Raw genomic sequence first — 25,891 nt, 5'->3', positions numbered from 1 at the left:
CTCTGTACAAGCCACAGAAGCTATTACTCTAGGAGAAAATGTTGAGAAAACTCTCTGAGGCTTAAAGTGCTGGGATATACCTTGTACATGATGTAGTTTCTCCTACATTTGCCAAACCACAGCTAGCATATTACAGGGTAAAATTTCAGGGCCTGGGACTTGCAGCCAGAAGACCTGGGTTTAAGTCCTCTTGCCACTAGTGTCATTTGGAGCAAGTAACACTGAGCCCTGTCTATTAAATGGGGATAATAATAATGCCTACCCTAAGAGTTGTTGTGAGGGTAGAACATGATGGGATCTCAGAGCTACTGAAATGTTTGCTATCACTAGGATTTCTCCCTTCTAGTCTATCTGGTTCTACAGTTAGGCTTTGTAGCTTGCTCTGTCACAGCACATAGCATGCTCTATCACGGTGTCTCCCAACATGCAGTACATGTTCTACTGGCAGTATGCAAGATTGGGGTGATACACTTATGAGCTTTTTCACATTTTAATAGTAATGCATATTTTATATGTAATGAATATGTTTATGGTTATATGGCACTGCTTTTTCATCTAGGGTAGTGATATAGTCCTGTTCAATAAATGGCTAAGTGAACTAATGATCATTACATCCCATCCTCTTATTTAGTGGATGGGAAAACTGAGCCCAAGAGGTCATGTGACTTGCCCAAGGTCCTGTTCCTGGTTTTTGGCCAGGAACAGGACTGTTGGTTGTTCTTGGTTCTTCCTCCTGGCCACAGACTCCTTCGGACCATTGAATCCCCTAAGTAACATCTCTATTCTATTAGCGTTTTAACCAACTGATGTACAACATTTTAAATTCCGATTTATTTTAGATTCTGGGTCTGTGGACTTGACGTATATTCTATGACTTAAGTATCTATTCATTCATTCATTGATTTGACAAATATATATTAGGAACTTCCTATATGCCAGGTCCTGGAGATAGTGGTCAGCAAGACTTCCATTCTAGTAGGGGCAGAGGAGCAAAAATAAACAAATAATTAAGACAATTATCAGACAATGATTGGCAAAGAATTAAAATATGGACATGTGAAAAAAAGCAAATTGGGTGACTATATTTTGACCAGGGGACCAAGAAAGATTAAGGTCAAGGAATCCACTACAAATTAGCTGACAAAATTACCTTTTATTTGTAAAGTGTAGGCTTCAGTGGGTCCTGTACTTTGGTTTTAGCCTTTCAAAGTTCTCATGGTATTAAAATAGCAACAGTAGGGCACTGTATCATACAAGACATATATGTCCAATTGCTAACAGGTAAACCCAGTTGAAAAGAGGGAAAAAAACAAGGAAGAAAGGAAAGAGACTCTTCCAAGAAAAATACTCATTCATGGGTAAATATCACCTATGAATAGAGATAAAACCCCCTAACAAATAAATATTAAAATTGTTTGAACAAAATACCCTTGCAAGTAAAAACACGCAGGGAAAGCAATGTTCACCCAGCGGACTGAGAGCTCTTCTGTTTAAGACCACAAGCCTTACCCTGTCCCTGAGGATATGCAGAGGAGCTGGAACTGAGGTCCCACCCACCTCAGAATGGATGTCTTAGTTAATTACTGAAGGCAACTGCGCTGGTTCCCTGGTTACCCTGCACATGATTTCCATGATCCTTTGCCACTGTCATATCAGGCATGAGCTCTACAACTCAGACAAGAAAGCTGGCACCAGCAAAGAGATGAGTTGGCAACATTACCAGGGAAACAGTTCCCATCCAGCCCATCATCAGCCCCTTTTTAAACTGTAAGAAGAGACCCAGAGAATAGCCAAATTAGTGTCATTCAATGAAGGAACCACTGCTCTTCAACTCAAGATGCCCCCAAAATTCTGATGCTAAAAATAAATTTCATACCACAGATGATGTCACCCTTGTCACAGTCCTGGCCTAGATTATCAACACCCTCACCTGAACTATGAAACAATGCCTCCTACCTTGTGAAAACCCTGGGAACCAGGTCTCTGGGATGAAATGATGCAGTCCAATTAGAAGTCTTATAGCAGGCTGGGCGTGGCAGCTCATGCCTGTAATCCCAGCAGTTTGAGAGGCCAAGACAGGAGGATCACTTGAACCCAGGAGCTCAAGACCAGCCTGGGCAACATAACAAGACTCTGCCTCTACAAAAAATTAGCCAGGTGTGGTGGTACATGTCCCAAGTACTTGTCCTAGCTACTTGGGATGTTGAGGTGGGAGGATCACTTGAGCCTGGAGGTCAAGGCTGCAGTTAGCCCTGATTGTGCCACTGTACTCCAGTCTGGGTGACAGAGCAAGACCCTGTCTCAAAAAAAAAAAAAAAAAAAAAGAAAAAAAAAAAAAGAGAGAGAGAGAAAGAAAGAAAAGAAAAAAGAAAAAAGTCATATAGCCTGTAACACAGGGTTACAGAAATATGAATTTATATGGATCTATTCCAAACCTCTGTTTTACAGATGAAGACATTAAGGTTCAGAAAGGCTAAGTGACTTGTCCGAAGTCACACAGCAAGATAATGGCAGAGCCAGGAGTAATGTGCAGGTATCCACACATTCACCCTCCCCAAAGCAAGAGGCTGAGGTTGCTCCCACAGGACCTCATGCCCTTACAGCTCTATGATCCCGACACCTCCTTCCTATATCCATACTTTATCCCACACCAAATGGAAGCATTCTATTAAATGAGCTCATCTCAAGTGGCAAAAAAAGTATCTGATTCCTAATCTAGACATGACTCAGATTCCTTATTGGAAGCACAGATGGGCTGCAAGAGAAGCAGTTTAAGCTCAATTCTTAGGTTACCTATTTGGGTCAATGATGGTAAAAGCATGGAATCTCATCCAGTTGGCTACAAATGTTGGGCTAGAGGCAATCACACATCCTCCCTTCTTTTGGAAAAGAAATAGACTAGGAAACATAACTGCCTTATTTACAAAGCTATCTAGAGTCAGAGAACTCTTCACACAGTATGTCCAGTGAGTCTTCTCTCCTTAGGTTTCTCTATATTTTTCTTTCTTTTTTTTTTTTTTTTTTTTTGAGATGGAGTCTCATTCTGTCACCCAGGCTGGAGTTCAGTGGCGTGATATTGGCTCACCACAACCTCCACCTCCCAGGTTCAAGCAATTCTCCTGCCTCAGTCTCCCAAGTAGCTGGGACTATAGGCACGCACCACCATGCCCAGCTAATTTTTGTATTTTTAGGACAGACAGGGTGTCACTATGTTGGCCAGGCTGGTCTCGATCTCCTGACTTCGTGATCTGCCCACCTCAGCCTCCCAAAGTGCTGGGATTACAGGCGTGAGCCCCCACACCCAGCCGAGGCTCCTCTATATTTTTCTTTCACAGAGACCCCTCATGACAAACTTTAAATGATGAGTGAAATGAAAATCCCCACAAGTGCACTGGAAGGCTTCAAGCCAGGTGGCATAATCACTCCTGAGCAACACTCACTGTGCTGGAATTAATATTCTGCCCGCATGCATTCATAAAACTTAAAGGACTCAAAGTGGAAGAGAAAGTGTTTTTTTAATGATGATGGTTTAACATTTACCAAGTCCCTACTATGTTGGGTCCCGCACAATGTGTGTAAGCAGCAAAGACCCTGGACTCCACCGAGGTGACAGAATTTAAGCAAGGAAGCAAAACCCATGTGAACATCTTTATTTTTTTTTAGAAATATTTCATAAGCGCTAACATAAAATGATACCTGTAACTGCAGGGAGCAGGTAGTAAGCTTTTTATAGGGAGCTTTTTCCTTTTGTGTTTTTGTTAACTTTCTTTTTCAGGATGTCTTTCGTTTTCTTAAAACCATTTTATTTCATCTTTCCTCCAAGAAGTAAGAGAAGAAGGAGAAAAAAAAAAGATGCCCCCCCAGTCATGTTACAGCCCTTACATCGAAGATTTTTCAAGTTAATCACTTTGAAAATATCTCAGAGGGAATGAAAAGGTCTTTCAATTGTCACACTGACAGTGACTTTTACTTTTACAGGATAAAAATATTTCTGCCATTATTTTGGTTCTTTCCTTTCTCCCCAGCTCAGACACTCATCTCTCGCCAATCACACCCACTTTGCTAGTGGCATGACTTAATCCTTCATCACAGAATGTTAGGTTGCACGCAGCACTGAGTTCAGTCCCCTGCCTGGCATGGCGTGATGTGTCTGCAGTGCTGTCTTGGACTTGAAGGTCCTTTTCACTCTCTGGTGATGATAACTTAGTACTAGCTCTTCATAAGGTTTCTGAACTGGCTGTCAATTCTGTTTTTTTCTTTTCTTTCTTTCTTTCTTTCTTTTTTTTTTTTTTTTTTTTGAGACGGAATTTCGCTTTGTCACCCAGGCTGTAGTGTAGTGGCGCGATCTCGGCTCACTGCAACCTCCGCCTCCCGGGTTCAAGCAATTCTCCTGCCTCAGCCTCCAGAATAGCTGGGATTACAGACGCCCACTACTATGCCTGGCTAATTTTTGTATTTTTAGTAGAGGCAGGGTTTCATCATGTTGGCCAGGCTGGTCTGGAACTCCTGACCTCAAGTGATCTGCCCGCCTCAGCCTCCCAAAGTGCTGGGATTACAGGTGTGAGCCACTGCGCTGAGCCAGCTCTGCTTTTTTTCAACACCTATGTTTTCAGCACACCATCAGCAGAACCTAAGTGTGAGCTGAGGGAGCAGAAGTCCCTTGGGATAGAAAAGACAGGCAGAGGAAGTCAGGAATGCCACTGTGACTCTTCACCAACTGCAACTTCCCTGTCCATCTATCTGCAGAATCCTGGCCATGCAGGGCAAGATGCCCTTTGGGTTGAAAAGAGTCTCACAGAGAGCAGTATTTTTCATTTGTTTGTCCTTTCATTGGCACACCAGCACTAGTACTATTATTCATATGAGCCACAATAGCCACCATGTATTGACTGCTTATTATGTATTGTTTGAGTATTATTATGACATTGATTCCATTTCTCAATGGCAGCTGTATGACTGACTTCACTGTACACATGGAAAACCAGGGTATAGAGAGATTAAGTGATTGATCCAAAGCCAGGTGGCTTGTGAGTGCCAAAGTTGTGACTCAAACCCACATGCATCTGGCATGGAGGCTCATCTTCTCTCTCTGTCCCCTGAGTACCACTGAGTCAAACACCCTGGCTGACTCAGGGTTGCACTCTTCTCAGTCCCCTGGCCTGGGATCTTTGAAGGTGGATGTACCAGAATCTTAAGGAGAAACAACATGTTCTCCCCAGGCCCAGGGGTACCATTCACTAGTCATATGATGTAAATGGTGTACACTGGAGTTAGGCAACTGAATTGTACTATGTTCTGGGGTCTTTCTAGCCTATGAAATCCCCAGCTCTCTCTGGGCCTAAGTCTAGACCCTCTCATTCATCCAGGTAACACTTTGAGGCCCCTGACCAATGAACTGTCACTTATTTCCATGGTCAGTCTAGCTTGCTCTTGAAGCTCTCCAGAGACAAAGAAGCCTGTAGCAAATCACAATGAGGATTCTGGTCCCTGAGGTGGAGAGGGTGGGAGCCCCACTGTTTGCCCTAGTCTCTACTTTCTGTAGATTAGGAGATTTCAAAGACTAATCAAAGATTAGTCTTCTTTGATGTTGCCTATATATCTGTCTCAAGGAATGGAACTAGCTCTGTTCATTCTTCAGTAGGCTTAAAATGATATACGGTAGAATAAAATGATGACATCATGAGGCTACTGACTTGATATAAACAGAAGACACCATGGAACAACCAACCACAGGAACATTCATGAACCCTCCCACCTAAAGGGACTGCAAAAAATAAGGCTCATTTCTAAACAATGTAATCAGCCAGGCTATTCCCAGCCTACACTCATTTCCTAGACAATAGTCACACAGTTGTTTAAATAACATCAGCTATTTCAAGCCTGGCAAAATAAATACAGGCTCACAGAAAAGTATAATTTGTAGTAAAAGACCTAATACCATTGCTCTTGATCAAAGATGTGATTCCTTTTTCAGAGTCTTTTCCAAAACGGAATGAATACAGAAAGTTTTTTTGGTTTGGATTTTTTTTTTTTTTTAAGTTTCCAACATACAGCTGAAAACTGCCCTTTATTCTCGGTCCCTGATCCATAATAACATCCTCCCTCCTACCTTCTGATTCCCATTTATGCTCAAAGTGAAAATGGAAATACAAAAAAAGGGGAAGAAGATAAAGGAATGGCTGAAACTTCTTCCCTTGCTCAGTTTGAAAACACATTTTTACCCTCCTCCATACAAACTAAAAGAGTCATCACATTTTAGCTCTACAAGACGCTGGAGGAAGACAAGGCATAGAGAAGGAGCTAGTTGGGTGTGATTCTGATGAAGCCCCCACTCTTTACCAGGTGAACGTATTATTTCGTGTGGCTGGAGGCTGCATGTACTCAACAACCATGAGTAAGGCCTGGATCTCACACTATTCTGTCATGGAAAGTCATTTCCTTTAAAACTGAACTCAGACTCAAATGTGAACTTGGTATGAAGCTCCTAGTTCCTGTAGGGCCTCTGAAATCTTCACTGAATTTTCACAAATGTTTCTTTATTTTCATCATTGAATGCCTTGAAGGCTGCCTGCCTCTAAAATCTATCAACGCCAATGTTTTATGGCCATTAAGAGATTCTAGAAGGCACTTCTTCCTCCAGGGCATAAGTTAAATCACTGGTATAATGGTGTTTATCAACAATACAACAGCAGATGGTCAACTTAAACAGATATTTGTACATACACAGCCAAGCTTGAAGATGGCCCAGTGTTTACTTGCTAGTCCACAGGAAGTAGGCATCTAGTGATATTTTTCATTATGTTAACATACACTATCTATCTGCCTTTTTAGTAGCTTCCAGACACCAGACATTTTTGCTCTCTTCAGAGAAATTCCAAAGAATCACCAAGGACTCCTAAGAAATAAGTCCAAATGTAGGGACAACAGAGTAGTAACATACTGTACTAATCTAAACACTCTTCTTCAAAGAAAGATCACCTTTCTACAGTTTTTTTTCAGTACCCTTCTGTGAGTTCCAAAAGCAGCCTTTTTACAATCTTTCATCTAGGACTGTTTTTTTTCTTCCAGTCTTGATTGCACAAGGTTCCTTCTCTTCTAGAGGCTCTGAAAGAGGCTTTGGAGACTGGCAAACATAAGTTCAAATCCCAGCCCTACAACTTGCTAACTATGACCTTGGGCTGATTATTTAATCTCTCTGACCCTCAGGTTCCTCAATCGTACATGGGAATAACAGTACTCACACCCCATATGGCTGTTGTGAGGATTAAGTGAGGTCTTACAGGTAAGAAGCCTGGCATGTGGATACTCAAGAAATGGGTGTTGCTATAATCACTAGTGATTAGGCCATGTTGCCCAAATCTCTAACTTTCTGCATAAGTGAACCCTTTCAACATCAAATTATATGCATTTACATAAAACCTCTCTGGGCCCAGATTCTTGTCTCTAGTTATGCTCCATTCAAATGTCTTCTGCCCATGAGCACTTATACCCAAACTGCCTCACCACATACGAGTCTTAGAACAATAAGGGCACCAGCTTTTTATTACATCAATCCTACCTGTCGCCTTCCATATTCATTTCCACTGAGCCCAGGATTTGGGTCTCATTAGGAAATCACCAAAATTTCAAGTTGTCATTACTTTACCAATCAATACATCAGTGGTCCTCTCCAAATTAGTCATACTCAAATCACATAATTCAAACACCATTGAAAACTTCCTTCCCCTTCAACCATAGGGCAGCTCCCTTGTGCTGTGTTTAAAGGAATCCATTCACATTTTCCCAAACACCTCTCCTCTTTCTTTTCTCCAACTGCTTTAATCACCTAAATCGTTGTATGAAGTGAGACAAGATTTAAGGTTCATTTAGGTTTGCATCGTTTAGAGTTTCCCACTATCTCTTACTAATACATCAGATTACAAGGGCTATCATAAGAATCGGGGGATAGGCCAGGCACGGTGGCTTATGCCTATAATCCCAGCACTTTGGGAGGCTGAGGTGAGCGGATCACAAGGTCAGGATTTCGAGACCACCCTGGACAATATAGTGAAACCCCATCTCTACTAAAAATACAAAAAATTAGCCGGGCGAGGTGGCAGGCACCTGAAGTCCCAGCTACTCGGGAGGCTGAGGCAGGAGAATGGCGTGAACCCCGGGGGGCGGAGCCTGCAGTGAGCTGAGATCGTGCCACTGCACTCCAGCCTGGGCGAACGCGAGACTCCATCTCAAAAAAAAAAAAAAAAAAAAATTAGCCAGGTGTAGTAGCAGATGCCTGTAATCCCAGCTACTTGGGAGGCTGAGGCAGGAGAATCGCTTGGACCCGGGAGGCTGAGGTTGCAGTGAGCCAAGATCGTGCCATTGCATTCCAGCCTGGGTGACAGAGCAAGAAAGAGTGATAAAGGCTAGCATTTAGTAACTGCTTTCTATGTGCAAGGCATTACTGAAACTGCTTTGCCTGTATTATTTCCTTCAGCACTGTCATTTCCCACAGTCCAGAAGCAATTACTGGAAGGTTTTGGGCTTTGCTTTTACAGCAAGAATCTATTAGGGGAAACTTATCAGGAAGGTACAGGCTGTCTAGTCATTTTTCTCCACTTCCAGGGACTGAGATCAATCATTCCTTTTAGATTCTGCTGCCCACTTGCCCCTGAGACCCTCCCCGATCCCTGTAATCAAAGGTGTCCTCCCCAGTCAGTCCCCAGGGAGGGTGGGGAAGCCCATGGCTCCCTGTCCCCGGGAATCCCATCTCCATCTTGTCCCTTGGCTCTCACTGGCTGCATCCCACAGCTGCAGCTGTTGACCTGTGTTTGCTGCTATTTGCATTTCAAATAAGTTAATAAAAGCAACGAACTAAATAATAAATTGGAGATTTGTGTTTAAAACAACAATGACAAAGGCCTTTGATTAACCCACAGTACCATAGAAAAGCAACTCAATAATACCACTAATGGTACTTTATGCACTTACAGGGCCTCTCAGCTGATTGTCTTGGGATTTCTACAAACATTACCCTCTCATTCCAAACTGAGTGAAAAACAACATCTTTGGGTAGGAAAAGTAGGTCAAGACAGATATAAAAGAAATGCACTGATTTGCATACGGTTACAATTAAAGTCAGTGAATCATTCCTCCATCTGTTTAACACACATTTTCTAAGCACTGACTAAGTGCTGGTCACTGGCCACTTGGGCTGCTGTGAGGAGCTGACTTATAATTTATTGCCTTCTACAAATAAACCTACAAGGATTAGGAACTGGGAAGGTTTAACATCTTCCAGCCCGTAATGATGCTACTACTCAGTTCTGACTCGTGACTTACAAGGTCTTTGTGAGTCTGTTTCCTCATCTGTAAAAGGGCAGTGGGGAATGGGGAGTGAGTTTGGACTGGCTACTCTTGAGAGCTCTTTTCTGCTCTGATACTCAGTTGGACCTCTGGGGTACTTTGGTCTTGCTCTGTGTCCCTGTGTGGGTCAGAGGAAACACTGCTTCCCATATTGTGCACGGCAACAGAAGCTGGAACCAGAAGAATCATGTTTGAGTCCCTAAATCTTACCAAGTCCTGGTTTGCAAAATGGGAACAACGACAATTCTTATCTCAGGGTTGCTCTGAGATTTAAATGGGGTAACATATGGGAACTGCATTGGAAAGCACTGTCCGAATCTGAGTTATCACAAACGTCCATGAAATCTGAGGTCAGAAGTGGATAGCTCATCTTTCTACTGTCCTTAAGCATCTCTATCATATCTTATGCTTTTACTGCTCAGTTTGCACACCATAGCTCTTATTTTGTGGCCATGCTATTTCATTTTCAAGTTGCCTTGTTTTTGTTTACGTTTTAAGAGGATGAGATTAAAAAATTTCCTGCTTTCGCCTATCGTCTTCTTGCTCACTTAGTCAGACAGGTTTCTATTTTTTGCTGCTACCTTTAATGTTTATCCCAAGAGAGGGCTTAAGAAATTCAGTACATAAGGAAGTGAGGTTGAGGAGCAGAGGTGGTTGGTACACAGGTGTAGGGTACCAGGCTGGGCTTTCCTGTTGCCTTCATGCAGTGGCAGCCAGGAGTAGCAAGTGTGGTGGTGGGTGCCATAAAGGAAAACCAGTGTTTCTGAAGGAGAGGAGGTGAGAAGCAGGAAGAGAGGGCAGGGATGCAAGCTTGGGGGGCCATATGCATGTTCAAAATGAAAATCAAGCTGGGCGCAGTGGCTCACACCTGTAATCCCATCACTTTGGGAGGCCAAGGCGGGTGGATCACCTGAGGTCAGGAGTTCAAGACCAACCTGACCAATGTGGTAAAACCCTGTCTCTACTAAAAATACAAAAATTAGCCAGGCATGGTGGCAGGCCCCTGTAATCCCAGCTACTTGGGAGGCTAAGGCAGGAGAATCGCTTGAACCTGAAAGGCAGAGATTGCACTAAGATGAGATTGCGCCACTGTACTCCAGCCTGGGCAACAGAGTGAGACTCCGTCTCAAAAAAAAAAAAAAAAAAGAAAAGAAAATCAATCAATCAATTACCTCTTGTACGCTTTCAGATTTTCTACAGAAAGGCTACTCAAGACTAGAGAGGAAACTGTTAACAAATGAAGAGATTTTAGAAAATATTTCAAAAACAGCCCCTACCAGTCAGAACATCACCACTCTCCTGACTCCACTGATGCTGGGAACATGGTGTAGACAGGCTCCAAATATGGTTGTATGTGCAAAACTGCATATTGTCACAATGAAGGACCTTACCTTTGTGTAGACTTAAACATCCTGCTATATTTTTCATTTAATCTGTCACATATTCTTATTGTTAGTATAACTATCAGAAACTTCCAGGGACGGGAATACATAAAACTATAACCTCCATTTTTGTGCCAACACAGTCTCGATGAATCACATTCTCAATTACTGTTTTTATTAAGTTGGTCCATAGCTCAGGAACCACCAATGGCTCCTCAGTTCCCTCAGGATTAAATCCCAGCTCCTTGACCTATAATTTAAGCCATTTCACCAGTTAGCTCTTTGCTATACAGTACTCTGGGGGGAGCAAAATGTACCAAACATAGGATCACTACTCTTGAGGAGTTTAACAATTTTGTTGATGAGGCGAGATTTTGTAGATAAAAAGTTTAGAAAATAATATATGCTGTTACAATCAAGTGCTAAACCAGTGAATGGACACAGTGTGTAAGGACACGGTAACAATGCACCTCCAACTCACCAGAACGTCTGGGCTTCCCTTCGCAGGATATGCCCTCCTCAGAAAAATACATAAGCCATTGTTCAATCTGGAGTCTAGAATAATCTAGCTTCTGGGGCACCCTAATGACATTCAATAATTTGCAGTGCACCAGCATTTATCAGGGTAAAAGTTCCCCAGATAAAGGATTCCTGGTTTAGAAGACACTCTGAAGAAGTGCAGAGATTAACAGGAATTACCAGGATGCTGGTTCACAGCACAAGGAAAAATGCACACAGAGGAACCAGTGAGATGCTCAGTGCCTACTGGAATCTCCAGAACTAGCAGATCTGGGGAAAGAGGCCCCAGCAAACAAGACACAGCTTCTAAATTTCCCAAGCCTGGTCACAACTAGTGGCACAATTGCTAGGCCTGGCAGCCTGGTTCTATTAAGCACCTCTCCATCTGGTAGGGGACCTGTGTTTGTTTATTCAGGAAAACTCTGGTTGGCAAAGGTCATGAGCTCAGCTGGGCAGGAAGCCGGGGACCGCTGAATGATAAACCTCAGTGCTCCAACACTTTGTTCTGGCTCTCACCTGCCCATGGCCATCTGTAGTGGCCAAATTAGCTAAAAGTTGTCAAACATCCCTTTGTGTCATATAGATACTACTCCTGTGTCTGTTCACAAATAGATGAGGCTGTTAACAGTAAACTGGAATGGGACCAAAAACATTCAATAGGTCCCAAAATATGCCAGCCCGATATCCATTTGGAGGAAAGTCACTCAGTCTGTGTGGCATTATACATGGGCACAGAGTGGGACCATCCTAATTCCTTGGCCCTAAATCCTATTCCCTCTGGGAACACTTCAGATACTATTTCTAGAAATCTGAGGGTGTCTACAGCAACTTCACTGTGATAGACACACGAGAATGAGCTAGGAATAAGAGACGAGTCATAAAGAAAATGAACACCCCATGGAATTTTAGCAAAATAAAAAAATAATATTACTTTACCATTCAGTATTATTTTGTTTTGGTTTTACTTTTGTACAATATGTGAAAGATTAAATGCAGGGTATTTTAATGAAGAACTGCCTCCTAACTATGGTTACAATCTGCAGATTTTAGTCCGAAATTATATGGTGAAGGTCATCTTCCCGACCTAGGGAAAAGAGATTTTTTTTTTAAATGAACATCCTAAAAGTAACAGTAGCAGGCTTTGGGGGGAATGTCTTTGTGCAACACTGCTCATAAGGTCCCACAGCTGAGACCTGGAGACGTTTTTGTCATTTCTATTCTCATTTGTTATTCAAAGTTGACCAATGTTCTCTAAACAAAGGGAAAGGAATCTTTCCAAAAAGGACTTGATTGAAGACTAACAGAAGGGGAACCCAGAGAATCAAGAAGGGAAAGTAGACTAAATCTGACATGTTCAAGGGTTTGTATTCTTAAGAACCCGTCTTCTTCACCACCACCACCACCACCACACGCCACATATCACCCAGCTCTGTGATGTCCCACCAGGATTCAATTCCAACTTGTCATTACAAATCACCCCCACACTGACTCCAGGCCTCACTTCTGCTTGTCTTCAATTAACTTTGAGTAAGACTATATGGAAGATGGGTATCCACAGAAATGGCAAGAGACCACTGCTTCTAACACATAGTTTCAGATTTTATGTAATTAAAAGACTTTCTGCCTTTATATGAGTGGTTCTTGTCAAATCCATTGTGGTCCCTGCATGTGTGAGGTAGAGTTTCCAGCAGGAAAATGGCATGGGTGTGACATGTCCACCCTCCCTCCCCGCTCTCTCATGTGAGATCTCTGCCCATGGTGGGCAACACCATCTGCTGCTGTGTAACCCAGCACAGCTAACCCGCTGCCTCCTGTTTTTAATGGGAAGGAAACAAAAGACAAATCTGTGCAAAAAGAAGCAGCAAACACAGATCTGAAGCAAACACGAGGTGGCTCGGCAAATACTTGACTATAGTCGGGTCGGAATTTATAGAACCTGACGCCAGACATTTCCATGGTGCAATTTCCTGACTAAATTTTGTTTTCTTATTTTCACTCCTGTGACTCTAGACAGGCTTTCTTCTCAGACTTCAGTCAGCCTTGGTTTCCCTGTGGTTCCTCTGGTGGAATTGCGTTGCTGCTTCCTGTTCCAGCAGGCCCAGCAGACCCAGCAGGCCCAGCGAGCATGAGAGCAGCCTGGGGCCCACGCTGCAGCCACTGTATGTCCACAGGCTGAGCTGCACAATGTTCTCCTCACTCACAACAGTACTTCTGAACAAAAATTATTGTTTTCAAGAAACTTGGTTGATTTATAAGAAATGCTATAAAAATACCATGGGGCCAGGCACGGTGGCTCATGCCTGTAATCCCAGCATTCTGGGTGAATCACTCGAGGTCAGGAGTTCAAGACTATCCTGGCCAACATAGTAAAACCCCATCTCTACTAAAAATACAGAAACTGGCTGCGCGTGTTGGCGGGTGCCTATAATCCCAGCTACTCAGGAGGCTGAGGCAGGAGAATTGCTTGAACCCAGGAGGTGGAGGTTGCAGTGGGCCGAGATTGCGCCACTGCACTCCAGCCTGAGTGACAGAGTGAGACTCTGTCTAATAAAATAAAATAAAATAAAACAACCATGGGATTTTCCAAATGCTTTCTTTATTCTTCAGTTTTTCCTTCACAGACCTGGTGTCAGTCCACATAATGCTCAGGGTAGGAAGGGGAGTGAACGGGGTCCGACCCCAGGTTTTGCAGAACAAGGAATCCCATTTATTTCAAAGAGCTAGAGGCCAATTGCTTCACTGTGTCCCTCTCTCCACTCCTGGAGGAAAAAAACATCTACTTTTTACGTAAAAAAAAACATATCCATAGATAGGATAATTTAGGAACACACCCTGCTAGAATGCTGTTCTGGTGTGCACCTTTAGAAAGAACCACAATCTAAATACAATGTGGGATACCGCATTGGATCATGGCATGGTAAAAGGACATTCAGTGGAAAACCTGGAGAGATCAGGAAAAAATCTGCCATGTAGTTTAACTAACAGGATGTTAATTTCTTAGTTTTGATAAAAAGTAGCACGGTTATGTAAGTTGCTAACAGTAGGGGAAGCAGGGTGAAGGGGAAACAAGAACTCTCTGTACTATCTCTGCAACTGGTCTGTAAATCTAAAGTTATCTAAAAATAAAAATGTGTTTAGAAAAAGGAATCACTGTGAAATGTCAAAAGTGATTAAAAACACAACCCAGTGATGACACAATGATTATTTACTATCTAAAGAACAGGGAGGGAACTGTAAAAAACACAGAGAGAGAGGCTGGCCCCTGGGTGAGCCCAGCTCAGCACTGCCAGTTTGGGACCACACCTATTTCAGTCTCACAGAGACAGTTTTTCTTTAAAACCCTCTAAAAAATTATGAAAACAAATCCACACCCATTGTGGACAATATGGATGCCACAAATGAAGAAGCAGCAAGCAGAGGTGTCTAATCACTTTACCCAGAGACAATCATCCTTGTTCATCTTTGACCATGTTTCCTTCCAGTACTTTTTCCACATAGCCATTTTTTTACATAGTTGAGGGCACAGTGGAAACACAATATTTTGGTCCTGTTTTCTTCACTTTATGTTCTATGATCAATGACTTCCCCACTGCAATGCTTTGGACATGACTTGTTTGTTCTTGCCAAATCTCATGTTGAAATTTGATCCCCAATGTGAGGGTGTCTGAGGTGAGGCCTAGTGGGAGGGGTCTGGGTCATGGGGGCAGATCCCTCATGAATGGCTTGGTGCTGTTCTCATGAAGTGAGTTTGTCCTGGTTCTGGCAAGATGGGATTAGTTCCCAGGAGAGTGGGTTGTTATAAAGCAAGATTCTTCCTTCTGTTTGGTCCCTCTTCAAATATGCCCACTTTCACTTTGACCTTTGCCTCCATGTCTTGATGAAACACAAAAGCCCCCACCAGAAGCCAAGCAGATGCCAACGCCAGGCTTCTTGTACAGCCTGCAGATCCATGAGCCAAACCCCCTCTTTTTTTACATAAACAATCCAGCCTCAGGTATTCCTTTATAGCAACACAAAATGGACCAAGACACCCCCATTTATCCAAAGCTTTGTAAACATGGCACTCAACAGCTGCCCGCTAACTCTGCTGTGCATCACCTCCACAGCTGACCTACCCAGACACCAACTGCTGCACTATTAGGATGCAAGAAAATTATGGCTGCTTCATAAAAAAGAGTGAGATCATGTCCTTTGCAGGGACATGGATGGAGCTGGAGGCCATTATCCTTAGCAAACTAATGCAGGAACAGAACACCAAATACTGTATGTTCTCACTTACAAGTGGGAGCTAAATGATGAAAATACATGGACACATCGAGGGGAACAACACGCACTGGGGCCTATCGGAGGGTGGAGGGTGGGAGGAGGCAGAGGATCAGGAAAAATAACTAATGGGTACTAGGCTTAACACCTGGGTGATGAAATAATCTGTACAACAAACCCCCATGACACACATTTACCTATGTAACAAACCTGCATTTGTACCCTGAACTTAAAATAAAAGTTAAAAAAGAAAGTTATGGGTGCTTAAGGAAAAAATCTGTCCTATATGCAGCCCTCTCTGGGCTTAAGTTATCCCTCACTGGCAAATTAGGCAGAACAGGTAGTTCCAGAATGTTTGGGGTCATTTCGGCTTGCAGCCAGTCGGTGATGCTTAAAATATTAATACATGCCAGTTACCACCAGAGAAAAATTTAAAACATGAGAGACAAGAATGCAAATTAGGTTTTCTGAGTAATAACGGTATAAAATATTAAATGGATTCTGAGTCAGTAATTCATATCTAATAAAGTAAAAATAGCAGATATCAAGACCTAGGAAACTATGGTGCTGTTTTAAATGGGCCATTCTGTTTATATTGCACACCAAGTCAACATATTTATTTTTGTAAAAGCTAAATGGGACTTAATATCAGCCCAATTTCAAAAAATGGGTAAAAACCTAGGTATGTAAAAGATGCGGAAATGGCCTAGGCCTAGCTCTTATTCTGGAAAATGAGATCCCACATGATATACCCACTCAGACACATACACACAGCCAAATCCTAAAATAAACTTAATCCTGCTAAGGATTTTCCTCCCAGTGGCGCACTCAAGTGGCTACATCAATATTCAGGAAGAAAAACCAAATATGCATAGAGAAGCCAGCTTTGAGGAATACACTTAAATTCTTATTTCTATTTCATTTGTCCCACTTCCTCCCTCCTGGATATAGGGTGTATCTGGAAGTAGAAAATGAAGAGAAGTTCTTCCCTTTTGCCCTCACCTCCTGCCCTCATCCCCGTCCCATTTTCTCTTCCAACCCATCAGCCCACTATCTCTATGGTTCTGAATAAAAGCACAGAGGGGTGACAGAAGAGGATAGCAGTATCCCCACTGAGCAAACAGACTCTGTCCAGAGGGTGTCCTGGAGACGCTCAACAAACTGTTTAAAAATCAAGTTCTTCTCCAGCCTTAGAAGGCTGGGCCAGAGTCTTACTAATGAGCTAGTGATCTTTTCAATAAAGCCAACAAATCACCAAACGTGTCTTATAAAATTCAGTCCTCATCTGATAGATGATGAGACCATACAGTGAAACAAATGTCTATTGTGGAAAAAGAAAAACGAGATTTTGCTTACCGCCCCTCCTAAGTTTAAACAGGCTTAATTAGTACATTTTCCCGAAAGGGAATAAATCATTTAGTTAGAAACAGGAAATTTCTTTCCAAGTTAGTTTGAGGGAACAATGAGGCTTAAGACCTCAGAGGTGGTCTACTACATTAAATGGCAAAAACGGCAATTACTTTTGCACCAAACTAGTAGTTTTCTAAAATCTAGAAAGAGCAGAAAACTGTGCAGGGATTTACATGAGAGTACTATATTCAATTTTTTTAAAAATAAGATAATCTTTAATGGGCAGCCACTATGTGCCAGCATTGTGCTAGGTGCTGGTGGATACAGCAATGAATAAGACATGGTCTCTACTCTCATGGAGGGTGAGGTAGTAAGCAGATAATCACAAGCTGCAGGGTACATAACAGGGGACCTAAATTAATCCAGGTGAAGGGGAAGGCTGGGTCCTGAAGAGGGAGTAGTAATTCTTAGCTAAGTGAAATGAGTAGGGAAGAACCTCAGTAAGTTCAAGGAGAAAGATCAGCCATGTGAATGCTCCAAGTTGGAGAGTTAGGCTGCCATCTCCTAACTCCTCTCCCTGAGCACACCACAGTGTGGCTGCTCCCTTTGTACACAGTCCAAACACATGGTCTGGGCTATTTCGAAGAGCATTAAAGAGCAAGGAGTCTTCTCCTGCATTACTGCAAACACACCTCCTTCCCGTTCCTGTTTCCTTTTCCCACCTCAACATCTCCTCGGTGCGTGGCAAGTGGATCCACGTCCTAGGGCAGTGGCTCTCCAAGTCTGATGAACAGAAGAATCATCTTGTGAGCTTGTTCAAAATGCAGATTCCCAGGTCCTACCCTGGAAGACCCTCTGAAAACTGTACATTCATAAGTGCAACCCCTGCCCTACCAAGTGGTTCTGATGAATGTTTTAGCTAGCCTGGTCTTTCTGCAATTAATTTGAAAAGAAGGATATTCAAAACTGGCAGGGTAACATCAAGGACAGGTGGCTGATTTCCTAGATGCTCTCAGCAAAGATCTCCCTGGGTATGGGCCCTTCTGTGGGTCTCAGCTGGTCTCCATGAACAGAGGGGCTGAGGGACTGTTCCCCTAATTCTCAGAAGACAGGAAGGAGAGGGGATGTTAAGGAGCCCTGTGCAGCCTCAGGGTGAAATTTTCATGGAAGACAGTTTCAGAAGTGGCTTGACTAAGCTGTTCTTTGGTTCCATAAGTGCAGTGCAAAAGATGGGTTTTTAAAAGTATTTTATAAAATAATTTCCATTTTTAAAATCTTAATATCTCTCATAACTATCATGAAATTTATACTTAATCAATGTAGATAATTGGCTATAAACTGAGTAATGCCTTATAATCGATTGTTCTGACATTTAGAGAAACTTACCATTCACCTAGTTTGGGTGATTTTCTTTCCTGTGTAAGTAAAAGAAACTTTAGAAACCACTGTCCTGAACTCCGCTTTGCATAGACTCCTTTTAATTTTCATGTTAACTTGGATCCGGTAAGAAGGCTTTGTTTTCCTGTCTGTAAATCTGTCAGTGCAGACAGCAAACTGGATCCTCCTCTGGTTCATTTTATAGTCAGCAAGTTTCCCAGGCAACAAACCACCAAGCCCACTCCATCAAATAGTAACCAATTTTTTCCCCTGACATGTCTCTCAAGACCTCCCTCCCAGCTGGCCATCAGCACACCACTCACCTTCTGTCTGTACTGGAGGAGAGGATGGGTAGTCCCTGGGAGGGCACAGGAATACTGGCCAATTGATCACCCAGCAGATGCACAGCTGGGGCGTGTCCTCGCAGGCCTTGCCCTGGGCTTCCAGGGACCAAGCATCTATGCCAGGGGCTTGCCTTTCTTTCTCTGCATTTTGTGATTATCTGCTTAATGTCTCACTACCCCATAAGGGTAGAGACCCCTTTCTTTTTTTTTTTAATCACTAAAAAGGATTCATCCAGTGACGCATATTACCTGGAATACAAATAGTTACAGAGCAAGTGATGAGGCACAGGTAACCTTCAAGATATTGCCCCAGCAACAAAGATGGGCCTTTCTGATTCAGCTTTACCGAGAAAGGTGACATCTTGGTTCTAGGCTTTGCCATTTTCTTTTGTTTTTTAAGAAGATTTTGGGCCAGAAACAGTGGCTCACGCCTGTAATCCCAGCACTTTGGGAGGCCGAGGTGAGTGGATCACTTGAGGTCAGGAGTTCGAGACCAGCCTAGCCAACACGGTGAAACCTTGTCTCTACTAAAAATACAAAAATTAGCCAGTCGTGGTGGCGCAGGCCTGTAGTCCCTTAGTCCCAGCTACTTGGGAGGCTGAGGCAGGAGAATTGCTTGAACCTGGGAGTCAGAGGTTGCAGTGAGCCAAGATCATGCCACTGCACTCCAGCCTGGGCCACAGAACAAGATCTGTCTCAAAAAAAAAAAAAAAAAAGAAGATTTGGATAAAATGTATTTTTCCATCAGACGTGAATGACAGTATCCTTGCATCCCATAGCCAAGGAGGTGCTGCTTTTGAAAAAGTTTTCAGTTGCCCCAGAAAGAGGCTGATGCTATGTGTCAAAAGCACATACTTCCTGTACATGGAATGCATTTGCCTCAAGCCTATAAGGTTCTTAGGAGTCCTGCCTTGGAAAACAGAAGTTCCTGAGTTAAAGAACTTCCCAGTGGTATTTGAGGGTCTTCAGAATTGAGCAGTAAGCTCTGAGGACCAGATTGCTGGGATCTGAACCCCATCTCCATTACTCACTGGCTGTGTGACCTTGGGCATGCTGTTTAACCATGCTGTGCCTCAGGTTCCTCGTGGTGGCATGAGGATAATAATAGGGCCTCCCTCTTGGAAGGCTATGAGGATTACATTGGCGCATACACAGAAAGTGCTTAGAGCAGCACCTGGCACATGGGAAGCATTTAGTAAACGTTATCTACGATTATTGTTCACTCCCCTCATGAAGATCAACGCAGGCTGGCTTCACAGAGAAAAGGGGAGCAAACCCGGACTCAAATGGCACTGGCTACGTCTGAGAAAGGCAAGGCCTCCTCCATAGGACATGATTCACCCACAGAAATCACTAGAAAGGTGGCCTGCCTGACATTATTTTTAGCTTTAATGAAAAAAGCAATCTAGTCCAAATTAGATGAGCTGGGTCACTGTAAGATCCAGCCCTGGGGCATTGTTCAGATTTTTTGGTTCTGGTGTCATGCTGGGCTGGAATAAATTGATTTAAAAGAGTTAATAAAAAATTCAGTCTCCCTCCTTCCAACTGGCATTGCAAAGGTCCCTAAAACATCTCAACTAATAGGCTACTTTCTTGTAAAAGAGACTCTCTTTAAAAAAAGAGTGTAAATTAAAATTACCTAGCTTTCCAAAATCACTCCCAATGCGTCTCTTCTTTGACCTATCTCTTTATCCAACTTGAGCCATCCTGGGGGGATTCCTCTCAAATTGCCCACATTTCTGGGTCTTACTTCACTCCTCAATGAAATTTAATGGATTTGGCTGGTGGTTCGTTACTGAACCCACGTGGAACAATATGTCATGCTTCATGCATGATAAATAAATGACATTTCTAAAACAATAGGGATGAATATAAACTGAGATCTAGAGCAAGAACCTCCAAGTGACCGCTGGGCATATCATAATTAACTAGTGATTTAGGACAACTCAATTTCCCATCATCATTGTATGGGGCCTTAAGGAAATCCACCAACACTTCACTGCTTCTTGAAGGAGATGCTTGGAGTCTGAATGGAATATTGTCAGGTGAAATTAGGCCACTTCTGAGTTGTGCAACATTCCCCTTCAAAATCTTGCTGATTATGCAAACACTGAATAATTACACTGATTCATGTATTATTCTCCATCAGAATGACAAAGCATTAGCACTGGCACCCCATTTCACTTTGCTAATGAAAAACAGCAAGCTTTTAAGACCACCATCCATCAAGAGAGAAAAAGAACTCATTCAGTGTAATGACAGGTGCATGACAATGGAAACACGGTTCCCTCTTTTTTTTTTTTAAGCATATGGGTTGCTGCCAAAGATTAAAATCATTCTGTGCTTAATATCATTCTCTTTCTTTGTGTTCCTCTGAGGTTTCGTATTTTCTTTTGGCAGAGAAATAAAAAGGTTGAAGCCAGAGATCCCAAATTCCCAATAGTATCTTTCTATCATTTCATACTGTGTTGGTGAGCATTTTCCACTAGGGTTTCTATCACTGTCTTTAAAGACTAGTGCCCTCCCTTTCAACAGTCCAGGGAACAAATCTGCACAAAGGTAGTTCTTAAAAACTATTAACAAACTGAACTGAGAAGGGAATTTGTCCCAGACAGTGCTCCCCACAGCTGGACAGAGCGTGATTTTCACCAAAACAGAGTATAATTCACAGGCAGCACCAGAGATAGGCAGGGATGGGGCCCTCTAGAATCTCACACAAGCAACAACAGTCTCCTACAACTCAGATGGCCAGGGGAAGAGAAGGATCTGTGTTTCAGTTATAAGAAGGAGTGCATTCTAGTACCTCTCCCACGCAGCCTCTTCTCATGCCTTTCTAGTCATGGCCTAGACTACCTCTCAGAAGCATTACTTAGCTAATTTTCTCCCCAACACTCTAAAAAACTGTTTAAAAGACCCAAGCGTAACACTTCATGTGTCAGAAGTTCTTTATCCAGCAGCATCAGCTGTGAGAAATTCAGCGTGGGCCTGGCATGGTGGCTCATGCCTGTAATCCTAGTACTTTTGGGAAGCTGAGGTGGGGGGATCGCTTGAGGCTAGGAGTTCAAGACCGGCCTGGGAAACATAGCAAGACCTCGTCTCTACAAAAAAATTAAAAAATTAGCTGGGCGTGATGGTGGACACCTGTGGTCCTAGCTACTTTGTAGGCTAAGGAGGGAGGATCTCTTGAGCCCAGGAGTTCAAGGCTGCAGTGAGCCATGATCGCATCCCTGCACCATCCTGTCTCTGAAAAGAAAACTTAAAATTTAGCTTTGAATTCAGTAAAAAAACATTAAAAGGTAGAGCGAGGGAAAGCCTCTGAGCAGGCAAAATAGATACCACTAAGTCAAAGCACTTACAGCTCAAAGACTTTATACGACGGAAGACTCCTTAGGGAAGATTCGGGATCAAGTCTCTCTCTCTCTTTTTCTTCTTTAGAGAGGAGGTCTAACAAGCTTAGTGACTAGATTTTCCAATCCACAGCAGATTCAGAACAACAACATAGAAGGAAGGTGTACTAGATTGAACAGTATTCCCCACAAATGTCCACGTGGAAACCTCAGAATGTGACCTCATTTGGAAAAAGGGTCTTTATAGAAGTCATTAGTTAAAATGAGGTCACACTGGATTAGGGTGGGAATCTTATTCAATGACTGAATAAGAAGAGAAAACACAGAGACAAACAGGGAGAACACGCCACGTGACACTGGAGGTAGATAATGGAATGATACATCTACAAGCCAAGTACGCCAAGTATTGAGCCTAGGAGTTCAAGACCTACCTAGGCAACAAAACAAGACCTTGTCTTTACAAAAAAAATAAATAAATTAGCTGGGCATGATGGTGCACACCTGTGGTTCTAGCTACTTGGGAGGCTAAGGAGGGAGGATGGCAGAAATCACTAGAAATGAGGAGAAAGGTATGGAACAGATTCTCCCTCAGTACCCCCAGAAGGAACCAGCCTTCGGCCTCTTGGAATGTGAGACAATACATTTCTGTTACTTACGCCACCCAGTTGATGATACTTTGTTATGGCAGCCCTGGGGAACTAACATAGAAGAGTACTTAGAAACAAGCACACTGAAGGTAGTTTAGAAAAAAACTACTGGCAGTGTGATATCGAGGGAGGATACCAAGACAGATATGTTTTTTAAAAGACATATGAATTAAAAAACCAGAGCTGGCATCATTCTGTCTGGTGGCAAACCGATACGTCCTCTCCAAGAAGACACTGCAAATATAAAGACATAATTCAATTGTGGATGACGTTCATAATGATGACCTTGAATTGGTTTTTAAAAGGCTGGATTCTGTTGAGGGTACTTAAACAAGGCCTCACTGTACTGCCTCACCCCATAGCCCTAAAAAGGAAATGTATTTGTTTGCCACTTGGATTGCACTAAATATTATCTTTTCTATTTGGCATCTCAACACGGCAGTGTATTCTTTTGTTACTAAATTATTGGGACTAACATTTCACATTTTCTTCTCTGGGAATCCTGATAAAATTATACAGCTTCTCTATGATACGTGCAAAGATGTTTCTACACTTAGTTGGTATTTGTCTTTCTATAGCAACTGCACACACTCACGCACACACTCACACACACACAAGAGAACACAACAGAAGAATCTATGATTAGAACTCCAGCATATGGACACCTATGCAATCAGACTTTTCACTATGGATTTCACACAACAACTAGAAAATCTTATTTTTGGAGAATGAACTATGAAGCTGGGCCAAGAATGATTATATCTTGACTTCAAATCACTTAAAAACTCTATGCCTCAATGCCACCCCTCATCTATTAAGAAATAGAATAAAAAACACAGTCGAAAATGTTTACGCACTACGGCCTATATAAAAATGACCCATAACAGTTCTGCTCCACTCTATTATTTAGCCCCATACCATGTGCTAGAGTCAATTTACTTTTTTTTTTTTTAATTGAAACTTATGCTGGAGAATTTTTCTTGTTCTACTTGGGGAGCACTTTTTTTCCTGAAAAAAAATCCCTTTTTTCTTTTATTTCATGTCTCCTTACTTAGGCCCAAATCTCCTTAAATCATCTTTTAAAATGAGAAGTATATAACTTTATGTAAATATATTTTAAATTGTCTTTTTAAGGTTTAACTTTACATTTGTTTCCACATAATTATTCCTCAGCGAGCTCCGGTCTCCTGGCTTAGAAACGCCTAGGTACAGTTTCCCCATCTCTTTCCTGGTGATCAAGGAGGTTTCAGGTCTTCACTGTGTTAAACCACATAGCGGAATTTTGCAGACTACCTGCCCCTCCTCCTTGCCTGATGAAATGAGGTGGATGTAGAAACACAGTCCCCCTCCACAGGCAGAGCAGATCCCATAGCACAATCCAGTCTGCACAATAAGCGACCGCCCAGGACTCCATCTCACAGGAAGATCTTAAATCACTCCCTTCCACTCTGGCTTTGAATGTGCTCCAATTCGCCTTCCACTCCCAGCCACCTTGGGGGAAGTAGGAAGAGTGAGGGTCACAGGGTGGGCACCAAGCCCAGATGGGGAGGGACACCAAACTGTCACTGGGTGGGGTTCCACAGGTCTCTTTTGCTTTTGCCTTGTCAGCATATTAGGATTTGGGGCTGGGGACTGCATTCCAGAAATAATAAAAACCACCCATTTGGAGAAACACGTGGCAGGGCTTTATAGCCTCTGGGCCTCTCTGCAGTGCTGTGCTGGGAGAAACAGGCAGACAGTGAGAGTTCCTTGCTCCAAGATGCAGGGAAGGTCAGCCAGAACCAGTGGAATGGGATTTGCTGTCGTCCCCAGTGTAATCCAGAATTAGGGTGGAAACGTTTGAAGGAGTATTTTCTCTATCTTTTTTAACCAAGCCTGTAAGTAATATGATATCACTGCCTTAGGCTTTTTTTTCTTTTTTTAAACCATGATCCTCTTGCAAACCAAACATACAATCGTCTCAGAACCTCTCCATATAAGGAATTTCCAGACAGACTGATTCTATGCAATATTTCTTGGGCTTAATGGAGAAAGTCATTCTAGGGCATTGTCCAGCTTTCTGAGTCATGCCATCAGGGTACTGAGAGGCTGGCTCACCCAGGACAAGGCCTGGCCTTTCTGAGCCTCAGGAAAGCCATGAGTGAGAAAGGTCACTCCGAGGCTACTGATCCCTAAGCAATGCATTTATGATTTCAAGAGACCCATTCAGTCCAGAGACAGGGCTGGTCTGACTATACAATACCCAGCATGAAGGCTCTGAATTCAGGACTTTCCATGTCTTTTCTAACGTGCATCAAAGGCCATTAAAAACCTGCTGAAGAAATTAAAGACTTGTAGCTACTATTAAGCTCCAACCACTTAAATCCTGCACTGGTGACCACTGGTCAGCCCCACCAGCCATGCTCAGATGTGTGTCACGGCACCAGTGTCTCTGCAGAGCAAAGGCAAAAGGGAGGGGAAGAGAGGAGAAATGGGAGGAAAGAAAGAAAGAAGCTGGAGGGCAGGAGAGGAGTAAAGCGTGGACATGTACCCCAGGAGGTAAAAGAGTTTGAGGTGGGAGTGAAACTCTGGGTGCAGGGAACGGTACCCTATACTGGCCTGGTCAATGCTCCAGAAGACACAGACACCAAAAAAAGCAGATGGAGTCGTGTGAACGTGGGAGGCTGGTGGGTATCCATGGGCAATGAGTGGTCTGGAAGCTGTAGAAGAGGAGAATGGTGCACCCCCAACCCCAAAAGGTTTCTGTCTAGAATGGTTTTATTGGGCGGTGATCCTTTGATTCATAACGACTCATACCCTGAGATGGGGATTCAGACAAAAAAAGAAAAATCCAAGATGGACGCTAGAAATAATACCAGGTCCACTTTGATCTTGGCCCTTTTATTTTTTCATGTTGCCTAAAGTTGGTGATTTCATTCATCTGCATAGGTGTAATAGGATTGCTTCGATAATCACAGTTTTACCTCTTTCAGATGCATTCTTCTTGCTGGAAAACACTGGATATGTGTAAATCTCCTCTTTTAACATGTTCCTCCCACGTTATTTTTGTCCCAGTTTCTGTCACAATTAACTTAATAAAGAAAGGATCTATTTTCCTTTCCCATGTTGCTGAAAATAAATTTATGAGTGATACTTAATAGTTGTCAGGACATGCAGCTGTTTTTCTCTCCCTTATGCGCACCTCTTCAAAAACCTCTATACCAGTGTTCTTCAAATGAAGGCTGCAATACTTTACTGTAGCATGAAATGGTCAAAGCCAGTGTTTCTTAATAGTATAGAATAAAACAGACTAGAAAATGTCATAATGCATTGCAGATAAT

The 25,891-nt window shown here is 42.7% G+C and overlaps 1 protein-coding gene across 1 annotated transcript in view, besides 1 other annotated feature; it reads right to left on the bottom strand.

Annotated features, from left to right (window-relative positions):
• MAP1B (microtubule associated protein 1B) overlaps positions 1 to 25,891 on the bottom strand; it is a 102,091-nt gene that overhangs the window by 43,311 nt on the left and 32,889 nt on the right. The gene's annotated exons all lie outside the window — the stretch shown is intronic.
• Positions 7,646 to 8,145: an enhancer, noted in NCBI's record as "H3K4me1 hESC enhancer chr5:71453937-71454436 (GRCh37/hg19 assembly coordinates)". NCBI's record gives its function as "activates a minimal SCP1, AML or CMV promoter by ChIP-STARR-seq in primed H9 embryonic stem cells {active_cell/tissue: H9 hESC(primed)}" and the evidence as "EXISTENCE:reporter gene assay evidence [ECO:0000049][PMID:30033119]".

The sequence above is a fragment of the Homo sapiens genome, chromosome 5 (assembly GCF_000001405.40).
Source record: "Homo sapiens chromosome 5, GRCh38.p14 Primary Assembly".
Lineage (NCBI taxonomy): Eukaryota > Metazoa > Chordata > Mammalia > Primates > Hominidae > Homo > Homo sapiens.
Note: the sequence above shows the minus strand (reverse complement) of the source record. Positions and strands in the feature narration are given on the sequence as shown.